The following is an 18,882-nucleotide window of genomic DNA, read 5'->3' on the forward strand; positions in this document are numbered from 1 at the left end:
CAGAAGACTGGAAAGTATTTCAAACAACATAATCTACACTTCTCAGACTGAGTTAGCAAAGGGCATCTGAGGACACATTTATTTTCCCTGAGCTTCTTTTCTGGAGCTTTTTCAATTCCCTGCAAATTTTCAAGATTTGGTAATTGGTGGCTGATCCCAGAGCAACAGCAATGAATCAGGCGGGTGTGATAGCAAGGACCACTGGGACACTCTGTGTACACCGAAACCATCCTAAGCAAGCCAAGCTGAGGAAATTGAGGCTGTCTATGAATTCCCACTGAGCTGGGCGTGGTGGCTCACACCTGTAATTCCAGCACTTTGGGAGACCGAGGCAGGTGGATCACTTGAGGTCGGGAGTTTGAGAATTCCTGCAGAGAAAAAATTAAATTGGAAAGAATAGTTCTGTCTGAGCTGATCCTCATTTCTTTATATTTTAATAAGTTGAGGTGACATGAATGGAAGAGGCTTCCTTTCTCACCACTGAATCTATTGCATTTGAAGGTGTGCTTGCACAGCTGGAAATGTGCATGGGTGTATGTGTGCATGTGTCTATCTGTCTTCAGGAAAAGGAGATGATGACAAGTTAGGGTGAGAGAGGCGGCACCACATGGCCCTGTAGAAGCAAGGTGGAAGAGATGGGGATGTCTACAGGAAGCCAGGCTGCAAATTGCTTCGGCCCTAGGTATTACTCTTTCCTGCTCAAGCTGTCTGATGCCTCCTTCCTTTGGCCTTGCCTTTGCTGTGCCAGGGAGGGCAGCCCCAGGGCAGACACTGTGGTCTGGGGAGGATGGAGTAGAGTGAATGGAGCAGAGGGCACTTGACTCTACCCCTTCTTCCCAGGTATTCCCCCATCTTCCTCAGGCCACTGAAGCCTCCTGACCACCTAGATTTAACTGGACACATATTATCAACCTCACCCTTCCACTAGGCACCAGCCTTCCCCTGACTACCTCTAAGACACTTCCAGATACTATAGGTTGATGCAAAGGTAATTGCGACTTTTGCCATGAAAAGTAATGGCACCTTTGCACCAACCTAACAGAGAAGCCAGCTTAGGCTAGTGTCATCAAAAACGGAGGATTAGGAGATATACCTAATGTAAATGGTTAATGGGTGCAGCACACCAACATGGCACGTGTATACATATGTAACAAGCCTGCACATTGTGCACACGTACCCTAGAACTTAAAGTATAATAAGAAAATATATATATATTCTAAAACAAATAATAAATAAAACAAAAAAGGTGGAAAGGAGAATTTATTAGAAGACTACGGGTGTATCTCATGGGACAGGAATGCATTCATTCATTCACTCATTCATTCATTCACTCAAAAAAATAAGTACTGAGTAACCAGTATGTGCCGGGTAGAGAGACAGACGCTGTGGATTCATTAGTGAAAGAGATAGACATGCTCTCTGCTTCTACCTTGTTAAAGAGACAGACAGTAAAGAAATCATCATACAAATATGCATATCATTATAAATTGTGTTGCGTGCTCTAGGGAAAAGCCATAGGATATCTTAGAAAGTATAACAGGGGGACTTAACTCAGATGTAGATTGTTGTTTCCGGAAAGACTTTGCTGAGGAGTGGTAGGTGGCTTCAGGGATGAATTCTGCCAAGCAATTAAGAGAGAAATTTTACCGCCGGGTGTGGTGGTTCATGCCTGTAATCCCAGCACTTCGGGAGGCCAAGGCAGGCAGATCACTTGAGATCAGGAGTTCAAGACCACCCAGCCCAACATGGTAAAACTCTGTCTCTACTAAAAAATACAAAAATTAGCCAGGCGTGGTGGTGCAGGCCTGTAGTCCCAGGCACTCAGGAGGCTGAGGCAGGAGAACTGCTTGAATCGGGGTGGTGGAGATAGCAGTGAGAATTGCTTGAACCTGGGAGGAGGAGATTGAGATCGCACCACTGCACTCCTGCCTGGGCGACAGAGCGAGACTCCATCTCAAACAACAACAAAATGAAACAAAAAACAAACAAACAAACCAAAAAGCAGAAATTATACCAGTTCAACATACACACTTTGAGAAAATAGGAGACCAATTCTCAACTGGTTTTATGAAGTCAGCACTACCATGATACCAAAACTATGTAAAACCTTACAAGAAAAGACAAGTAGAGAGCTCATGAACATATATGGTAGGTAGAATAAATGTCCCTCTGCCCCTCAGTATGTCTGCATTCTAATTGGCGGAACCTGTAAATGTTACGTTAATCCTTATATTGCAGATGTGATTAAAGTAAGGATTTTGAGGTGGGTTATCCAGTTACAACTGATGAAACCACAGCAGTTCTTGTAAGTGGGAAGCAGGAGGTAATTAGAAGATAAGGTAATGTGATGGCAAAAGCAGAGATTAGAGGGACATGCTTTGAGGATGGAGGAAGGGGCCACAAGACTTGAAAAGTTAAAGAAATAGTTTCCCCTCTGAGCTCCAGAAGAACCAGCCTGGTCAATACCTTGACTTTATCCCACTGAAATGGCATTTGGACTTCTGACCTCCAGAACTATAAGAGAAAACAACTGTACTGTTTCAAGCCACTCAATGCACTATGGTAACTTGTTACAGGAGGAACAGAAGACCAATGCAGCATAATTGTATGAGTCTGCAACAAAATTTTAGCAAACCATGCCAAGCAATTTACAAAAAATATAATATATCATCAATAAGTGAGATAGTCCCAAGAGTTGAAGATTGGTTTAACATTTTTGAAAAAAAATCTATAATTGACCATATTAACAAGTTTAAAAAGAAAAGCCATTTGATCATCTCAAATAGATACAGAATAAGCATTTGACAAAATTTAGCACCTGTTCACGGAAAGAAAACCACAAACCTCTGCCAAATAGGAAAAGAAGGAAATTTCTTCACCTTAATAAAATATATCTACTAAAAATCTACAGCTTACATTATAACTCACTATAAAAGAAGGAATGTGTTTTAGAAATAACATGTCTATACTTACCACCTCTATTCAATATTGTACCTAGCCAGTGTAACAAAACAAGAAAAAAAAAGGAATAGACTTGGAGAAAAAGAAAGAAAGCTCTTCTTTTCACAAATGGCATGATCTAATTCTAAAAAACCATTTTTAAAAAGGCTACTAGAACAAATAAGGGAGTTTATAGCAAGGCCACAATATACAAGATCAACATAGAAAAATTCAGTGTACTTATATATAGTCGCAATAAAAAATTGAAAATTGGGAAGTGAATTATACTAAAATCTGAAACATTTTGCTGAGAAAAAAATTTAAAAAAACATAAATAAGTGGAGAGATGTATCATTTCATGGATGGAAAGACAATGTGGTTAAAATCCTAGCAGACATTTTTGGTAGAAATTTTCAAGTTGATTCTGAAAGTTACAAGGAAATGTGGAGATCTACTATAGCTAAAATAACTTTGAGAAGAAAAAAATGTTAGAGGGCTTAATATTATTTCAAAACTTACTATAAAGCTATGGTAATTAAACTTTCTGTCCACCCAAACAGAATATACATATTGATCAATAAAACAGAATAGAAATAGACCCATGCATATATGATCAATTAGTTTTCAACAAAGAAACTGAAGTCGTTCAATGGGGGAAAAAATGTTTTTTCAACAAATGGAACTCAAACAATGGGACATTCATATGAGAAAAAAGTGAATCTCAACCTCAACCTCATACCCTATTAAAAAAATAATTCAAGATGGATCATATATATACACACATATACATGTATGAGATATACTAGTATATATACATATATTATATAATATATAGGATGTCATATATTATGATATATAATATATATTTCTATGTATATAAGGCATCAGGTGTCTTATATATACATATATGATTAATACAGATTATAATATATGACATCGTATATATTATATGTCATATATTATGATATATATCTCATATATATATATCAGAGCACGGAAACATAAACCGTCAAAGGGAAATTTGATAATTTGATTTGATAAATCAAAAGATTTCATTTTGTCCTTGAAAAACATTGTTGAAAAATAAGGGCCAGGTGCAGTGGCTCATGCCTGTAATCCCAGCTCATTAGGATGCCGATGTGGGAGGATCACTTGAGGTCAGGAGTTTGAGACCAGCCTGGGCAATATGGTGAGACCATGTCTCTACAAAAACACTTTAAAAAGAAAAAATTATTCAGTTTCTGCACCAGATGACAAAAAAAGAGAGAGGGAAAAGAAAAACAGAAAAAATTATCCAAGCATGGTGGTGGATGCCTGAAGTCCTAGTTACTCAGGAGACTGAGGTGAGAGGATTTCTTGAGCTCAGGAAGCCAAGGCTGTAGTGAGCTGTGATTGCACCACTGCACTCCAGCCTGGGTGACAGAGCAAAACCCTGTCTCTAAAATAAATAAAAATAGGCAAGTCATATATTTTGAGAAAATATTTACAAAACATATATCTGATTAAAGATTTTTAGCAGAATATATATGAACATTTATAATTTATTAAGAAAAAAGAAAAGCAACTGGTAAAAACCCAAATGGCCAAAGATGTAAACAAACACCTTACAACCGTAAGTATGGCCAACACAGGCTATGAAAAAATATTCAACATTAGCAGCCATCAAGGAAACGCAAATTAAAACTGTAAAAAGATATGACACACCACTAGAATCAAAAAAATTACAAAGATTGAAAATACTTCCATTGGTGAGGGTGAAGAGAAACTGGAATCCTCATTCTTTGCTATACATTATATAACTGCTTTGTAAAACATGTTGATGATTTTAAATAAAGTTAAATCTATTCTTATTTTACTACTAGAAATTCCCCTCGTTCTAGTAGCCTTTTTTAAAATGATTTTTTAGAATTAGATCATGCCATTTGTGAAAAGAAGAGCTTTCTTTCTTCTCCCCCAAGTCTATTCCTTTTTTTTTTTTTCTTGTTTTGTTACACTGGCTAGGTACTATATTGATTAGAGGAGGTAAGAATAGACATTCTTATGTTATTTTAAAACACATTCCTTCTTTTATAATGAACTATAAGTGAATGGATTTTTATTATATGTAAATCATGGCTCAATAAAACTGATTTTATATGTATAAATATTTGTATGTACGTGTGTGTATGTAAAGAACACATACCAAATAAAGCAAAAGAATACACATTAGATACTTTAGGAAGATTGCCTATTGGAAGCAGAGGAAAATTGTGTTGGGAAATGGAAATAAAAGGAAGAAGGAATAAAGGAAGGTTAGAAGAGAGAAGATAACTGAGGTGCTTGCATGAGACAAAAATAATCAGCGCCATTAACTGAGTTCCATGATGATTAACTTCACCCTCTGCACCTGGGTGTGAAGGGGAAAAAAATCTTTAATATAAAAGCAAGCCCAGACATAATATTGCAGACACCAGGAGAGAATGGACTATTCAAAAACTGATGATGAAACACCTGTTATTCATCCGAGGAATAACATTTGACTTATACTTCACAATATACACAAAAATTGATTCCCAGTGGAATTAAGAATTAGCTGAAAAAAGCAAAATTTTAGAATTTTTATATGCCAGTATCTTCATAGCTTGGGGTGAGAAAGGCATTCTGGCACAAAAATGCATGAAGAATGAGCTATAAAGTAAACACTGAGGATTTCAGCATTATAACTAAGAACTTTCTTTCACTAAACAATCTAAAGATGTTAAAAACCAAGCCCCAAACCAGAAGACATGTAACATATATACCAGAAAAAGATGAGCACCCAGCATATTAAGAAAGTGATAACTAATAGAAAAATGGACAAAAAAAGATGAGAAGACATTTTCCTCGAAATGAAATCACAAGTGGGGAATAGCTGATGACAAAAGATATTCAGTTTCAATCGTGGGGCACTAAATGCTAACACCACAACATGAGAGAGACAAAAAATTTTTAAGTTAAAAAGATACTAAGTGTTGGTGAGGTTGTGGCACAAGGGGAGCTCTTACACACTCAGTTGAGAGCATAAAGTGTTACAACCATTTTGGAAAGTAATTTGACATGATCTAGTTAAGTCATAGATGCACATCTCCGTGACTCTGCAGTTCCGCTCCCAGGGAACACCCTCAAAAAAATCTTGCACTAGAGCACCAGGGAGCATCCTCAAGAATGTTCATGACCACATTATTTATAATGCCAAAAAAAAAAAAAAAAAAAGACACCAGTAAGTCTATAGACTATTGCAGAACAATTAAAAGTCACTAATTACAATTACATACACTAATAGATTTTATTAAGCATACATTTCTTAAACATGAATTTTTTTCTTTTATGTATGTATTTATTTATTTATTTATTTTTGAGATGGAGTCTTGCTCTGTCACACAGCCTGGAGTGCAGTGGTGCAATCTTGGCTCACTGCAACCTCTACCTCCTGGGTTCAAGCAATTCTCCTGCCTCAGCCTCTCAAGTAGCTGGGACTACAGGTGTGTGCCACCACACCTGGCTAATTTTTTTTGTATTTTTAGTTGAGACGGGGTTTCACCATGTTGGCCAGGATGGTCTCCATCTCTTGACCTCGTGATCCACCTGCCTCAGCCTCCCAAACTGCTGGGATTACAGGCGTGACCCACTGCACCCAGCCAAAACATGAAATTTTTTTTAAAAGTCACAGAATAAAAGCAGTATACTATTAATATAAGCATCAAAAATAAACAAAAATTAAACTACCTAAGGATTTATACTTATACTATTAAAATAAGCATAAAAAATACACAAAAACTAAACTATCTAAGAATATATACTTATGTACTAAAACTATAATAAAAAGCAAGGGAATGATAAGCATAAAAATTAGAATATTGTTTATCTCTGGGGATAAAGGAAGAGAATATGAACATAAAGTACTAGCAATATCCTTAAACGGAATAGTAAGTATATGGCTGTCAATCATTCTTCACACCTTAAATATAAATATATAATATAAATCTTTTTTACATACAAATTAGGTCATAATCATTTTTAAATTTAGAAAGAAAAATACAAAAAATGAAGAAATGAATAGCCAGGGAATTTAGGTACATGCATCAACAATTTTTACTTCTGTGAAAAATATACCAGAAAATGTTGTGTTATAAAGTGATAGGAGGCTTGGGGGCTTTTTCTGTGCACCACTTTTAATTTCTCATTGTATCAACCTTTGCTTTAGGGCTCCTGGCTGCAGTCAAGAAGAAAGCTCAGTATTTCCCCTTGTTGACATTTTCTTTTAATCAAAGTATATCTTTTACGTCTTCTTACAAGAGTGGACACTGTTTGGGCACCGCTTTGGGTTAGAAAGGCAATTTATTTCTCAGTGGTAAACAAATTTGTCAGGCAATCTGGCAGCACAAAATGTCAAAGTGCCCATGTGGAAAGGAAGAGGGAGAGAGGAGGCTGCTGCAATATTTATTCCATGATGCCGTTTAATTATTGATATGTGGGAGGCCCAAATGTACACGGGCTTTTTAAAGATAATATGGCTGTGCTAGAGACAAACGTGTTCTGGGAGCTAGGCTATTACTACGCAGAAATCAGCCATTTAGAAGCGCTTTGCTTCTTTCTTCCAAAAACTAAACACTGTTTTGTCCATTGTTACTGTAACTGTGAGAAAGAAGAAATGAGTATATAATAACTCATTGTTTTTCAAATTATTCTGAATATATAAATAGATACCTAGGCAAGCTGTTAATCATTGTTACCCTTCTTCCCCAGATAAAATACGTGAGGCAGTAATAAGGAATTGATTTGCCACAGGTTAGACTTTGAACCGGGGTTAGAAAATCACATTCACCGCCTGCCTAATCAGAGGCTGATTCAGTAGGACAGTGGGTTTTTCATTGTTTTAGCCATCAAACTCTTTGCATAATAAAGTCTCACAAATTGTTAACTAATAAAATGATTAGAAGTTGAGTAACTCTGGCCTGAACATGAGGATCTGGGGACAGTCAGCTCAGTCCCTTGCCTGGCAAGTGGGGACAGGTGGCCACATCTAAAGCCCTGGCAGCCCAAAAACCACTCCTGACCTTGAAGCTGCTGAAGGTCAGAGGGAGGGAGCCAGGAGCTTTCCAAGTAATCGGTCTGGACCCCAAATGGTACGGTCTTTTGTTGGCCCCCAACATGAAGTCACTTTCTCCAAGGCCAGTTGGCAATGCCCAGGTGGCTCAGTCAGGGGGAGTCAAGGGTCCCCAGCAGCTAGAACGGCTCCTGCCACCCAGTCGGCACCCAGGGACCATCTGTCGTGAATAAGCAAATGAACAAGGGCATGCACACTGAAGGAGCAATGTTGGCTGACTCCATCACCCATTATGGCATCCGAGCCCGAGGCCCTCTTCTGCCAGTCTGTCCTGTTACTGCTGAAAGAAGGGACATCAGAACTCGATGCCCTACCGGACTCTCTCACACTGTGGTATTGAAGCAGGTGTCCTCTCATTTGTCCCCACCGTGGTCTGCTGCTGCAGGCGACACCTTCAGGGAGGTCCAAGTCCACCATAGCAGCAGGGCCTGGCTGGGCAAGCCCCTGCCCACAGCTGTCCTCAACAGGTCCCCAGTCCCTGTGCTTGGCCCATGGTGCCATGTTGCAGGTGCTCCTGCAGGGCCTTCTCTGACACCCACCCTCCCTGCTCTTCCCCGTGAGGACACTGCAGGTGCTCGTTGTCTTGTATCACCATTTGTCACCCACTTTCTTCTGTGCATTTGGCTTTCAGCAACAGGTCCTAGAAGCAAGAGAGGGAAGGGGATCAGGGAGGCCTGGGGTTCCCTACTGGGTTTCACGTTCTCTACAAAGGAAATAGGATGTGAGCTGAGCACAGGGTGGGGACGTATAACAGAAGCTGGCTTTAAAGCCAGGAACAGTTAGCTACAAAGAAATCCAGTCGCAGCCAAGGCGGGAGAAGGGAAGGACAGTGAGAGAAAGCAGCACCGGCAAGGAAGGAGGAGAGGGAGGGAGGAGAGGGAGACAGGAAGAAAGGAGAGGGACGATCAGCTGGAGGAGAGGGGCAGGAAGGGCAGGGGAGGTGGCTCTCTCCTTTTGATGGCTGAGAGCCATCTGGGTGGTGGTGCAAATGCTGGGATGTGAAAGGATCATGACACCAGCTTTTAACTCAGTCCCAGCTGTGGGAGCTGCCTCACTCAGGAAGTCCATGTTTCTCTTCTGCCTTTAAACTCTCCACATTTGCTGGTTACCTTCCCCTTCCACCCTAACATGCCACCTCCAACATGCACATACATGTGCATATACATAAAACCACACACACATACACACGTGCACACAATAGACACATGCACGCATATACCCATGTGGGCACATATACAACCATATATATACAGAACCACCCATACACACGTGCACACAATAGACACCTGCACACACATACACATGTGGGCACACATGCAACCATGTACACAACCACACATACGTTCACACAATATACACATACATGCACATGTGGGCACCCATACAACCATGTACACACACAGCCACACGTACACACGTGCAAACAATAGACACATGCACATTCATACACATGTGGGCACACATACAACCACATACACAACCACACATACACAGACAATATACACATGCACATACATGTGTGTACACATACAATTACAACCACACACATGTGCACACAATACACATGTACATGCATGCACACAAACACCTACACATGTGCACACACATAAACACACACATAGTTGCATACAACATTCTCGTGTACATGCATGCATGCATACACATGCATACACACATGTGCACACAACCATGTGCACACTCACACATGTGCACACACAATATACACATATACATGCATAAGCACACACATAAACACACACATACATACACACATACACTTGTATACAATATACACATGTACATGCATGCACATGCAAATACACATATGTACACACAACACATGCACACACAGGTAAAACATGTGAATGCATGTTCATGCACAGATACACATAAACACACACATGCACAGTACACACACATGCAGACATACACGAATACACACACATATACATCCACATATACATATGCACAAATACATACATACACACACACCATGACATTTAACGATCAAATGGTCACACTTCATTCCCGTAAAGGAAGAGAAAAGAAAGTCGAATTCAGAGGTGTTTCTGGATATGGCATTCTGACCACGTGAACAGAAATGGGTCCCTCTGATTCAGCTGAGGCCTCCCTGGAAGAGCTGAGTGGAAATTCTTCAGAAAGGAATGAGACTTTCCACTCTCCAGCAAGCAGAGCCACTCTCCTGCCTGGCAGTATGGTCAGCGCTTCTCCCTCAGCCAGGGCTGGCCCTGCCCACCATGCAGAAGGATCACAGAGGTCCTCAGGTCCTGCTGGCACTGTCAGGGTCACAAGTCAAGGGCCTGACAAACTCTTTTCCTTCCATGCCTTTCTAGGCTGACAGAGGGCAGCTGGCAGGGCCCCAGGCCAGCTTGGCATTTTAAAGTACAGTCTACTTTTGGTTATCAGCAGTACTTACGTTCTACAAAGTCACTGCAACTGCTGAATTAGTGAAGAATGAATCACTGCTTCTAGGCCAGGCATGCAGATGCCGCATGTTTACCACTTGAAATTCTAAAGGAAACTGATGCCAGGAGATGCTGCCCGAGGCCTCACAGGGAGTTGGTGGCTCTGCTGGGACAAACACAAGGCCCCTCAGCCTTGTGTACTTCTACTCTGCTCAGGTACTTCTACTCTGCTGAGCTACTTTCTGTGTCACGTGGTGAGAGGAAAGTGAACTTCAATCAAGGCACTGAGTTCCCCTGTCTGGGCTCTGCCGCATCCTCTGCTGGGTGACCTTGACAAAGCCCTTGCTTTGTAAATCACTCATCTATTAAAGGTCAAATCTTCAGGCTGGGGCCTCCTGGGAAAGATGGCCACAGTGACTTCAGAATCAGCGGAAGTCGTCCCGCCACTATGTTTCCCAATGAGCTGGAGAGGTAACCTGAAGAGGAGGCAACCGTGTGCCCAGGACTTTCTAAACTACTCCCAGTATGAATGAAGGTCCATGTCTAGAGTGCCTCCCTGTTTTTGCCTCCTTCACAATAGAAATGCTCTTTGGATATACATGGCCAACAAGTATATGAAAAAAACGCTCAACATCACTGATCATTAGAGAAATACAAACCAAAACCACAATAAGACACTGTCTGACACCAGTCAGAATGGCAATTATGAAAAAGTCAAAAAATAACAGATGTTGGAAAGGTTGTGGAGAAAGCACAGTCTCTTCAAAAAATGATGCTGGGAAAACTGGATATTCACATACAGAAGAATGAAACTAAATCCCTACCTCTCAACATATACAAGCAACAAATCAAAATGGACTAATGACTTAAATGCAAGCACAAAAACTATAAGATTACTACAAGAAAACAGAAGAAAAAGCTTTTTGACTTCAGCCTTGGCAATAATTTTTTTGGATATGGCACCAAAAACACGGGCAACAAAAGCACAAATAGAGAACTGAGGCTACATCAAATGAGAACACTTCTGCACAGCAAAGGAAACCATCAACAGAGTGAAAAGGCAACCTACAGAATGGGAGAGAATATTTGCAAACCACGTATCTGATAAGGGGTTGATATGGTTTGGCTGTGTCCCCATCAAAATCCTCACTTGAATTGTATCTCCCAAAATTCCCACATGTTGTGAGAGGGACCCAAGGGGGAGGTAAATGAATCATAGAGGCCGGCCTTTCCTGTGCTATTCTCATGATAGTGGATACGTCTCATGAGATCTGATGGGTTTATCAGGGGTTTCTGCTTTTGCCTCCTCTCCTCCTCTTTCTGTCTTGCCACCACCATGTAAGAAGTGCCTTCTGCCTTCGGCCGTGATTCTGACGCCTCCCCAGCCATGTGGAACTGTAAGTCCAATTAAACCTCTTTTTCTTCCCAGTCTCAGGTATGTCTTTATCAGCAGTGTGAAAACAGATTAATATAGGGGTTAATATTTAAAATATAAGGCTCCCTGGAAGAGCTGCATGGAAATTCTTACACAACTCAATTGAAAAAATTCTCATACAACTCAAATTCTCATACAACTCAATGGCAAGAAAAAAAAAAAAATCCCACAAATAGCCAAATTAAAAAAATGAACGAAGTTCCTCTAAAAACTAAAAAAAGAGTTACCATATGATCCAGCAATCCCACTATGGAGTATATACCCAAAAGAAAGGAAATCAATATATAAAAGAGATCTCTGCACTCCTGTGTTTGTTGAAGCTCTATTGACAATCGCCAAGATTTGGAAGCAACCATTATTGATTCATCTAGTAACAGATGAATAAATAAAGAAACTGTGGGTCCTTATACACAATGGAGTACTATTCAACCATAAAAAAGAATGAGATTCAGTCATTTGCAACGACATGAATGGAACCAGAGGTCATGATGTTAAGTGAAGCAGGCCAGGCACAGAAAGACAAACATCGCACGTTCTCACTTATTTGTGGAATTTAAAAATAAAAACAATTGAACACATGGAGATAGAGAGTACAAGGATGGTTACCATGGGCTGGGAAGGGTAATGGGGATGGGGGAGGTGGGGATGCTTAATGGGTACAAAAAAAAAATAGAATCAATAAGACCTAGTATTTGACAGCACAACAGGGTGACTATAGTCAATAATAAGTTAATTGTACATTTTATTAAAATAACTAAAAGAGTGTAATTGGATTATCTGTAATAAACAAAGGACAAATGCTTGAGGGAAGGAACACCCACCCTCCATGACATGATTATTATGCATTGCATGCCTGTATCAAAACATCTCACACACCTCATAAATATATACACCTACTATGCACCCAAAAAAATTAAAGATTAGAAATTTTTTTAAAAGCCCATCAATGATAGACTGGATAAAGAAAATGTGACATATATATACCATGGAATACTATGCAGCCATAAAAAATAATGAGTTCATGTCCTTTGCAAGGACATGGATGTAGCTGGAAACCATCATTCTCAGCAAACTAACACAGGAACAGAAAACCAAACACCACGTGTTCTCACTCATAAGTGGGAGTTGAACAATGAGAACACACGGACACAGGGAGGGGGACAACACACACCGGAGTTGGGGGCAAGGCAAGGGAGAGCATTAGGACAAATACCTAATGCATGTGGGGCTTAAAACCTAGATGACAGGTTGATAGGTGCAGCAAACCACTATGGCACATGTATACCTATGTAACAAACCTGCATATTCTGCACATGTATCCCAGAACTTAAAGTAAAATAAAATTTAAAAAAAAAGAAGAAAAGTGAAAAAAAAAATGAGTAAAGGACCAGACATTTCTGAAAAGGAGGCAAACGGCCGAGAGAGTAGCTTCATTTTGGCAAGGTCTTCTTCCTTCTCACAGATAACAGATTACCTCTTCTGTTTCGGAGGTGCAGCTGGAAGAGAAGTAAGGACGTCCTTCTTTCGTGAGCTGGGATCCAGTGACTGTTCAGGGAAATGGGTGGGTGGCAGATAGGCCCCACTGCAGAGCACAGAGTGGCCAACGTGCCCCAGTCCCACAAGGAGAGAGCAGACTGCAGCCATTAGCTGGCCTGGGCCTGGGGGCATGATCGTGACAAATCGTCCCACTAGATCCACTCAAAAACTACTTCCTTAAGTTTCCAACCCACAGGTGTTTGAAAGATTCCTTGTCTCACACCTGCAGCCTGACCCCGTGCCTGGCATATCATGGGCAGGTGACAAGCATTTGTTAAATAAATGTAATAAAGAAAAGATAGGATTTCTGTTACCAGTTCTCCTGAGAAGCAGTAGCCCTGAGGAATGTATGGTCCTTAGCTCCAAACTGACTCCCAAAGCAGAGTGAATGTATCCAAGGACAAAGTCACAGTTGATTTGAAAACTCCCTTTCTGGGTCTGAAATTCCACCCCTCCCTACTTCGGATTCTGTAAGTGTCTCAGACCGATAAGCAGCAGCTGGGGAGAGGCGAAACCTGGAAGCCGTAACCCACCTGTGCCTGGAAAGTAAGCTACCCAAAAGACACTTGCTTTTAAAATTACATTTGAATCCTCCTTGCATAGTTAATTGGAGCCAATTATTTCTCTGTCCAGAAGACTGAATGCATTCTCTGAAACCCTTCGGAGGAAAAGTATTCATGTCATGCCCTTTCGTTTCCAACAAAAGATAATTTGCACATGCTCTTTCCACAGGAGCGTGTCATTTCAACTAAAATCAGCTTCCTTTAAAAAAATCAGAAAAGGAAAATGAAAGGAAAAAAATTAATGAGATATTCAGAAAAAAAAAAAAACCTCATCACCCAGAAAATTTACCAATCCATGTCAAAATGACCATATCCATGGGAACTCTGCACAGAGGATCATTACTGTACTCCCCTCGCCCATCACTCTTACATCTTAGAAGACTTCATAAAAATCACTCATCAGACGCTCGTAGTAATCACCACGGGCTGAGTTTACATCCACATTTGAGTCTCAGATGGGACACAGTCCTGTAAGCCTACAGCGGCATGTTGGTTTATTTATGGCGCCGGGCTTCTTAATGGAATGGATTATTTCCTTGGCGTGATTATGATCAGAGGCCTCTGGCACCGCATTTATTCGGTCCACACAGCCTGACTATGAAAGAGAATCTCCTAGAGACTACGTTTCCTCCCTACTTCAATATCCGAATTGTTAAAAGAAAATTGCTGACTTTATGGGTGTAAAGACTTGGCCTAAGTGAAAAATGAATATGGGATATCAAAAGTCAGCTTTCATGAAACTGTAACACGAAAGCAAAATGACATCCTTTCTCCTTGCTGCAGAAAGCGAAGAGTAAGAACCGGCACATCAGTATCCTCATAGCAAGAAGTAATGCTAATGCCGCCACCGACATGGTGAGACGGATTTGCCCCCTTCAAAGCCTTCCGCAGCTCCACTTCCAACACCTGGCCCAAGCCGCCATCTCTCTCACCTGGGCTGCTACAGAGGCTGTTCAAGAACCTCCCCTCCCCTGCAGGCCAGAGCTAGTAAGGTGCTCACCTCACAGGCAAAATATGAAAGGTTGCAAAACCACTCAGCAATCGACATAAATAATATTTTAATGCAATAGTTTTTTTTAAAATCTAAGTTAGCACAAATATATCCGTGATAAACAAAACAAAAATTTTACATAAAGACAGGACACAACAGTGCCATGCCAAGTTACGATGTTTGCAGAGGCTAAAGGAAAACTGTGCACGTCTGTTTACAGGCTTTTTTCCTTTTTTTTTTTTTTTTTTTTTTTTTTTGAGACAGACCCTCGCTCTGTCCCCCGGGCTGGAGTGCAGTGGCATGATCTCAGCTCATTGCAAACTCCACCTCCCAGGATCAAGCGATTCTCCCACCTCAGCCTCCCAAGAAGCTGGGATTACAGGCTTGCGCCACCAGGCCTGGCTAATTTTTTTATTTTTAGTGGAGACGGGGTTTCGCCATGTTGGCCAGTCTGGTTTTGAACTCCTGGCCTCAGGTAATTCACTTGCTTTGGCCTCCCAAAGTGCTGGATTACAGGTGTGAGTCACTGTGCCCAGCCTATATACGGGCTTTTAACATATAATTTAAACATGTTTTTCATAGCATAAAAATAATTCAAAATATTGAAACAATTGAACAAGGTATTAAAAATCACAATGTTATTTTAAGTGTAAATATTTTATTTATACCCCCAAAAGAATTTGCTATAATTTTACTTTCCTGGATATAATGAAAGCAAACACATTAACAACATATTCAAAATCTACTTCTTTGCTTATCTTCTTTTTAATTGAAAGTTGTAAGTTGTAACACAGAATACAAAGTAATTGAAAGTGTGTTTGATGGATGTTAATTCTGAGAAGAGAAATGGATACGTTTTCTGAGTATTTTGATGTAAAATAATTACATGAGTTTTAATACACCTACCTTCCCATTTCCCCAAATTTTTCAGTTACTTTAATGTTCTAAAAAAATTGACCATTAAAAATATATAAAAACAAGTATAACAGGGCACCCATCTTCCTTCGTGTGTCAGGCCTCAGTGTGGCTCAGTACGGCACTGTCAGATCTTGTTTTTATTTAAAATTTTGATATTTGGCTCATCGGGAATTTTTTATTGCATTAATCTTATTTCTAAAATTTTACATTAAAGTATTATCAATTTTGATGACCCAGCTTTTTGTGTTGCCTTGAGTTTTTCAGCTGCTTCATCCTGATTCTGGCCTTCCTCCCACTCTGACTCTACTCGCCAAAGAGCAGAAAGATGGGTTCTCTACGGATTAAATAAGCTCACAGCACTCCTGCACTTAAAACCCTCCAGGGGTGTCCTGTGAACTTGGGATGCAATCCAGACTTAGGGTCCTGACAAGTAAGTCCTGTGTGAGCCAGCTCCTGGCTCTCTCTCCAACCCCATTTCTTCTCTCTCACTGTAGTCCAGACACACAACTTCAAGTTCTCTGCCTCCACTCCCAGGGGACTTCTCCCTCTGTCCCATGGCTGGCTCCTTCTCATCCTTTTAATCCCCCTATAAACATCCCCTTCCACAGAGACCTCCTGCACCCACCTTGTCTATAGTTAAGACCCTGTGATTGAGAGAGGAGACCACTCCTCATATTGTCTTATACTTAATTTCTTGTTTGCTGAAAAGGTAGAAGTTAAAAGAATAGGCAGAAGTGAAATTCACAGTCAGACAGCCCAGCACCACATTTCAGACCTGGTCATTAAAAGTCAACCCCTGCCCTCACCGCTTGTGGTATCTATAGATTCTAGACACTGCATGAGGAAGCATTGTGAAATTCTCTGTTCTTTTCTGTTTCGTTCTGATTACTGGTACATGCAGCCCCCAGTCACGTACCCCTCGCTTGCTCAATCGACCATGACCCCCACTTCATGCAGCCCCTTTAAACTTGTGAGCCCTTAAAAGGGACAGGAATTACTTATTCAAGAAGCTTGGTTTCTAGGACATGAATCTGCCGATGCTCCCAGGTGAATAAAGCTCTTTCCTTCCTCAATCCAGTGTCTGAAGGATTTTGTCTATGACTCCTCCTGCTGCATGATGATTATTAACTTTATACATCAACCTGGTTAGGCTGTGGCACCCAGGTTTCAGTCACATACCAGTCAAGATGTTGCTATGAAGGTGTTTTTAGATATGAAGAATACAATCAGTGAACCTTGAGTAAAGCAGAAAAATCACCCTCTAAATGTGGGTGGGCCTCATCCAATCAGTTGAAGACCTTCTAAAAAGTCTGAGTTTTCCAGAAAAAGAAGAAATTCTGCCACGAGACTGTAGCATCCAATCCTGCCTGAGTTTCTGCTGGTCTGCCCGGCAGATTTTGGACTTGCCAGCTTCCAGAGCCATATAACCTCATTCCTTAAAATAAGTCACTCTCTCTTCCTCTCCCACCTCTCCCTCTTTATTTTAACCTTCTTTGGTCCTTCACAGAACCTAAAAGTAATGCCATTAAATGTAATGGCAAAAACTACAATTACTTTTGCACCAACCTAATACATAGGATGTAATTAAGGTATTCAATGGTTTTAGCTGGGGGGTGTGGGTTAGTTTCATGGCTATTTTAATGTTCTATATCCCCCTGCTAGACTGTCAGCCCTCTGAGGACAGGAACTGTGTTTGTCCTGTCCATCTCTGAACCCCAGCTCCTGGCACAGAGCCTGGCTCAGAAGCAGGGAAAATGCTGACCTCTGAAGCAACCCAGGTAACAGTGCCACAGCCACAGGCCTGGGCTCTGGGGACAGGTAAGAAAGGAAGCAGTGGGGCTCCAGGCACCTTGGCAAAAAAGGTTGTTCAGGCACAGAGCTCAAGGTGGAGACAGTCTCCAGAATGCAGAGAATAAAAGATAGGCAGCATTTGGACAAGAAACTATAGTCACCAGGATGAACATGGCATCACTAGCTGCTGTTCCTCAGAAAGTTACAGCTACCCAACTATTGAGCTAATCCTCTAACTTGTCTCCCTGCTGCTGTCTTTCCCTGGCTAGTATCTTCTCCAGCCAGCAGTCACACAGAGCCCATTAAAACACTATTAGGTCCCAGCATTCCCTTGCCCTGACACCCTCCAATGGTGTTTCCATCTGGAGCAGTAAGACTCAAATTCCTTACAACGTCCCTCAAGGCACCACACTCTACTATCTGTGATATGGTTTGATTGTGTCCCCACCCAAATCTCATCTTGAATTGTAGCTCCCACAATTCCCACATGTGGTGGGAGGGTCCCCGTGGGAGGCAATGAATCACAGGGGTGGATATTTCCTGTGTTGTTCTCATGATAGTGAATAAGTCTCATGAGATCTGATGGTTTTATATGCGGGGGGTTCCCTGCACAAGCTCTCTCTCTTTGCCTGCCGCCATCCATGTAAGATGTGACTTGCTCCTCCTTGCCTCCCACCAGGATTGTGAGGCCTCCCCAGCCATATGGGACTGTAAGTCCATTAAACCTCTTTTTCTTCCCTGTATTGGGTATGTCTTAATTGGCAGCATGAAAATGGACTAATACCATCTGTCTCCCTTAAGCTTTTCCTCTCCCTCCCCTCATCTTGCTCCAGGCCCACCAGCTACCCTTCAGGACCTCTCCAAGCATGCCCCTGACTCAGGCCTCACCTGGAACACTCTCCCTGCTGATACACCTGTACTGCCTTCCTCACTTCCACCCAGTCTTTGTTCACATGTGGCTGTATCAGAGAGCTCTTCCCTAACCACCCGTCTAAAATGCCAATTCGCCATTGCTCCCTCTCGCCATAAGTCTACCATGTATTTAAAGAGCATTGACCACCTTCCTTCACATGCATTTTTTTAGCCAGTCTCTCCTACTTAAAGCTAAATTCCATGAAGCAGGGAGTGTTTTGCCCACTTCTGCATCTCCAACAGGT

General features: G+C 41.2%; 2 annotated features.

Annotated features, from left to right (window-relative positions):
- Positions 7,886-8,386: an enhancer, noted in NCBI's record as "H3K4me1 hESC enhancer chr10:14489756-14490256 (GRCh37/hg19 assembly coordinates)". NCBI's record gives its function as "activates a minimal SCP1, AML or CMV promoter by ChIP-STARR-seq in primed H9 embryonic stem cells {active_cell/tissue: H9 hESC(primed)}" and the evidence as "EXISTENCE:reporter gene assay evidence [ECO:0000049][PMID:30033119]".
- Positions 16,799-16,878: an enhancer, noted in NCBI's record as "active region_3070". NCBI's record gives its function as "activates an Ori minimal core promoter by ATAC-STARR-seq in GM12878 lymphoblastoid cells {active_cell/tissue: GM12878}" and the evidence as "EXISTENCE:reporter gene assay evidence [ECO:0000049][PMID:35858748]".

The sequence above is a fragment of the Homo sapiens genome, chromosome 10, assembly GCF_000001405.40.
Source record: "Homo sapiens chromosome 10, GRCh38.p14 Primary Assembly".
NCBI classification, from domain to species: Eukaryota; Metazoa; Chordata; class Mammalia; order Primates; family Hominidae; genus Homo; species Homo sapiens.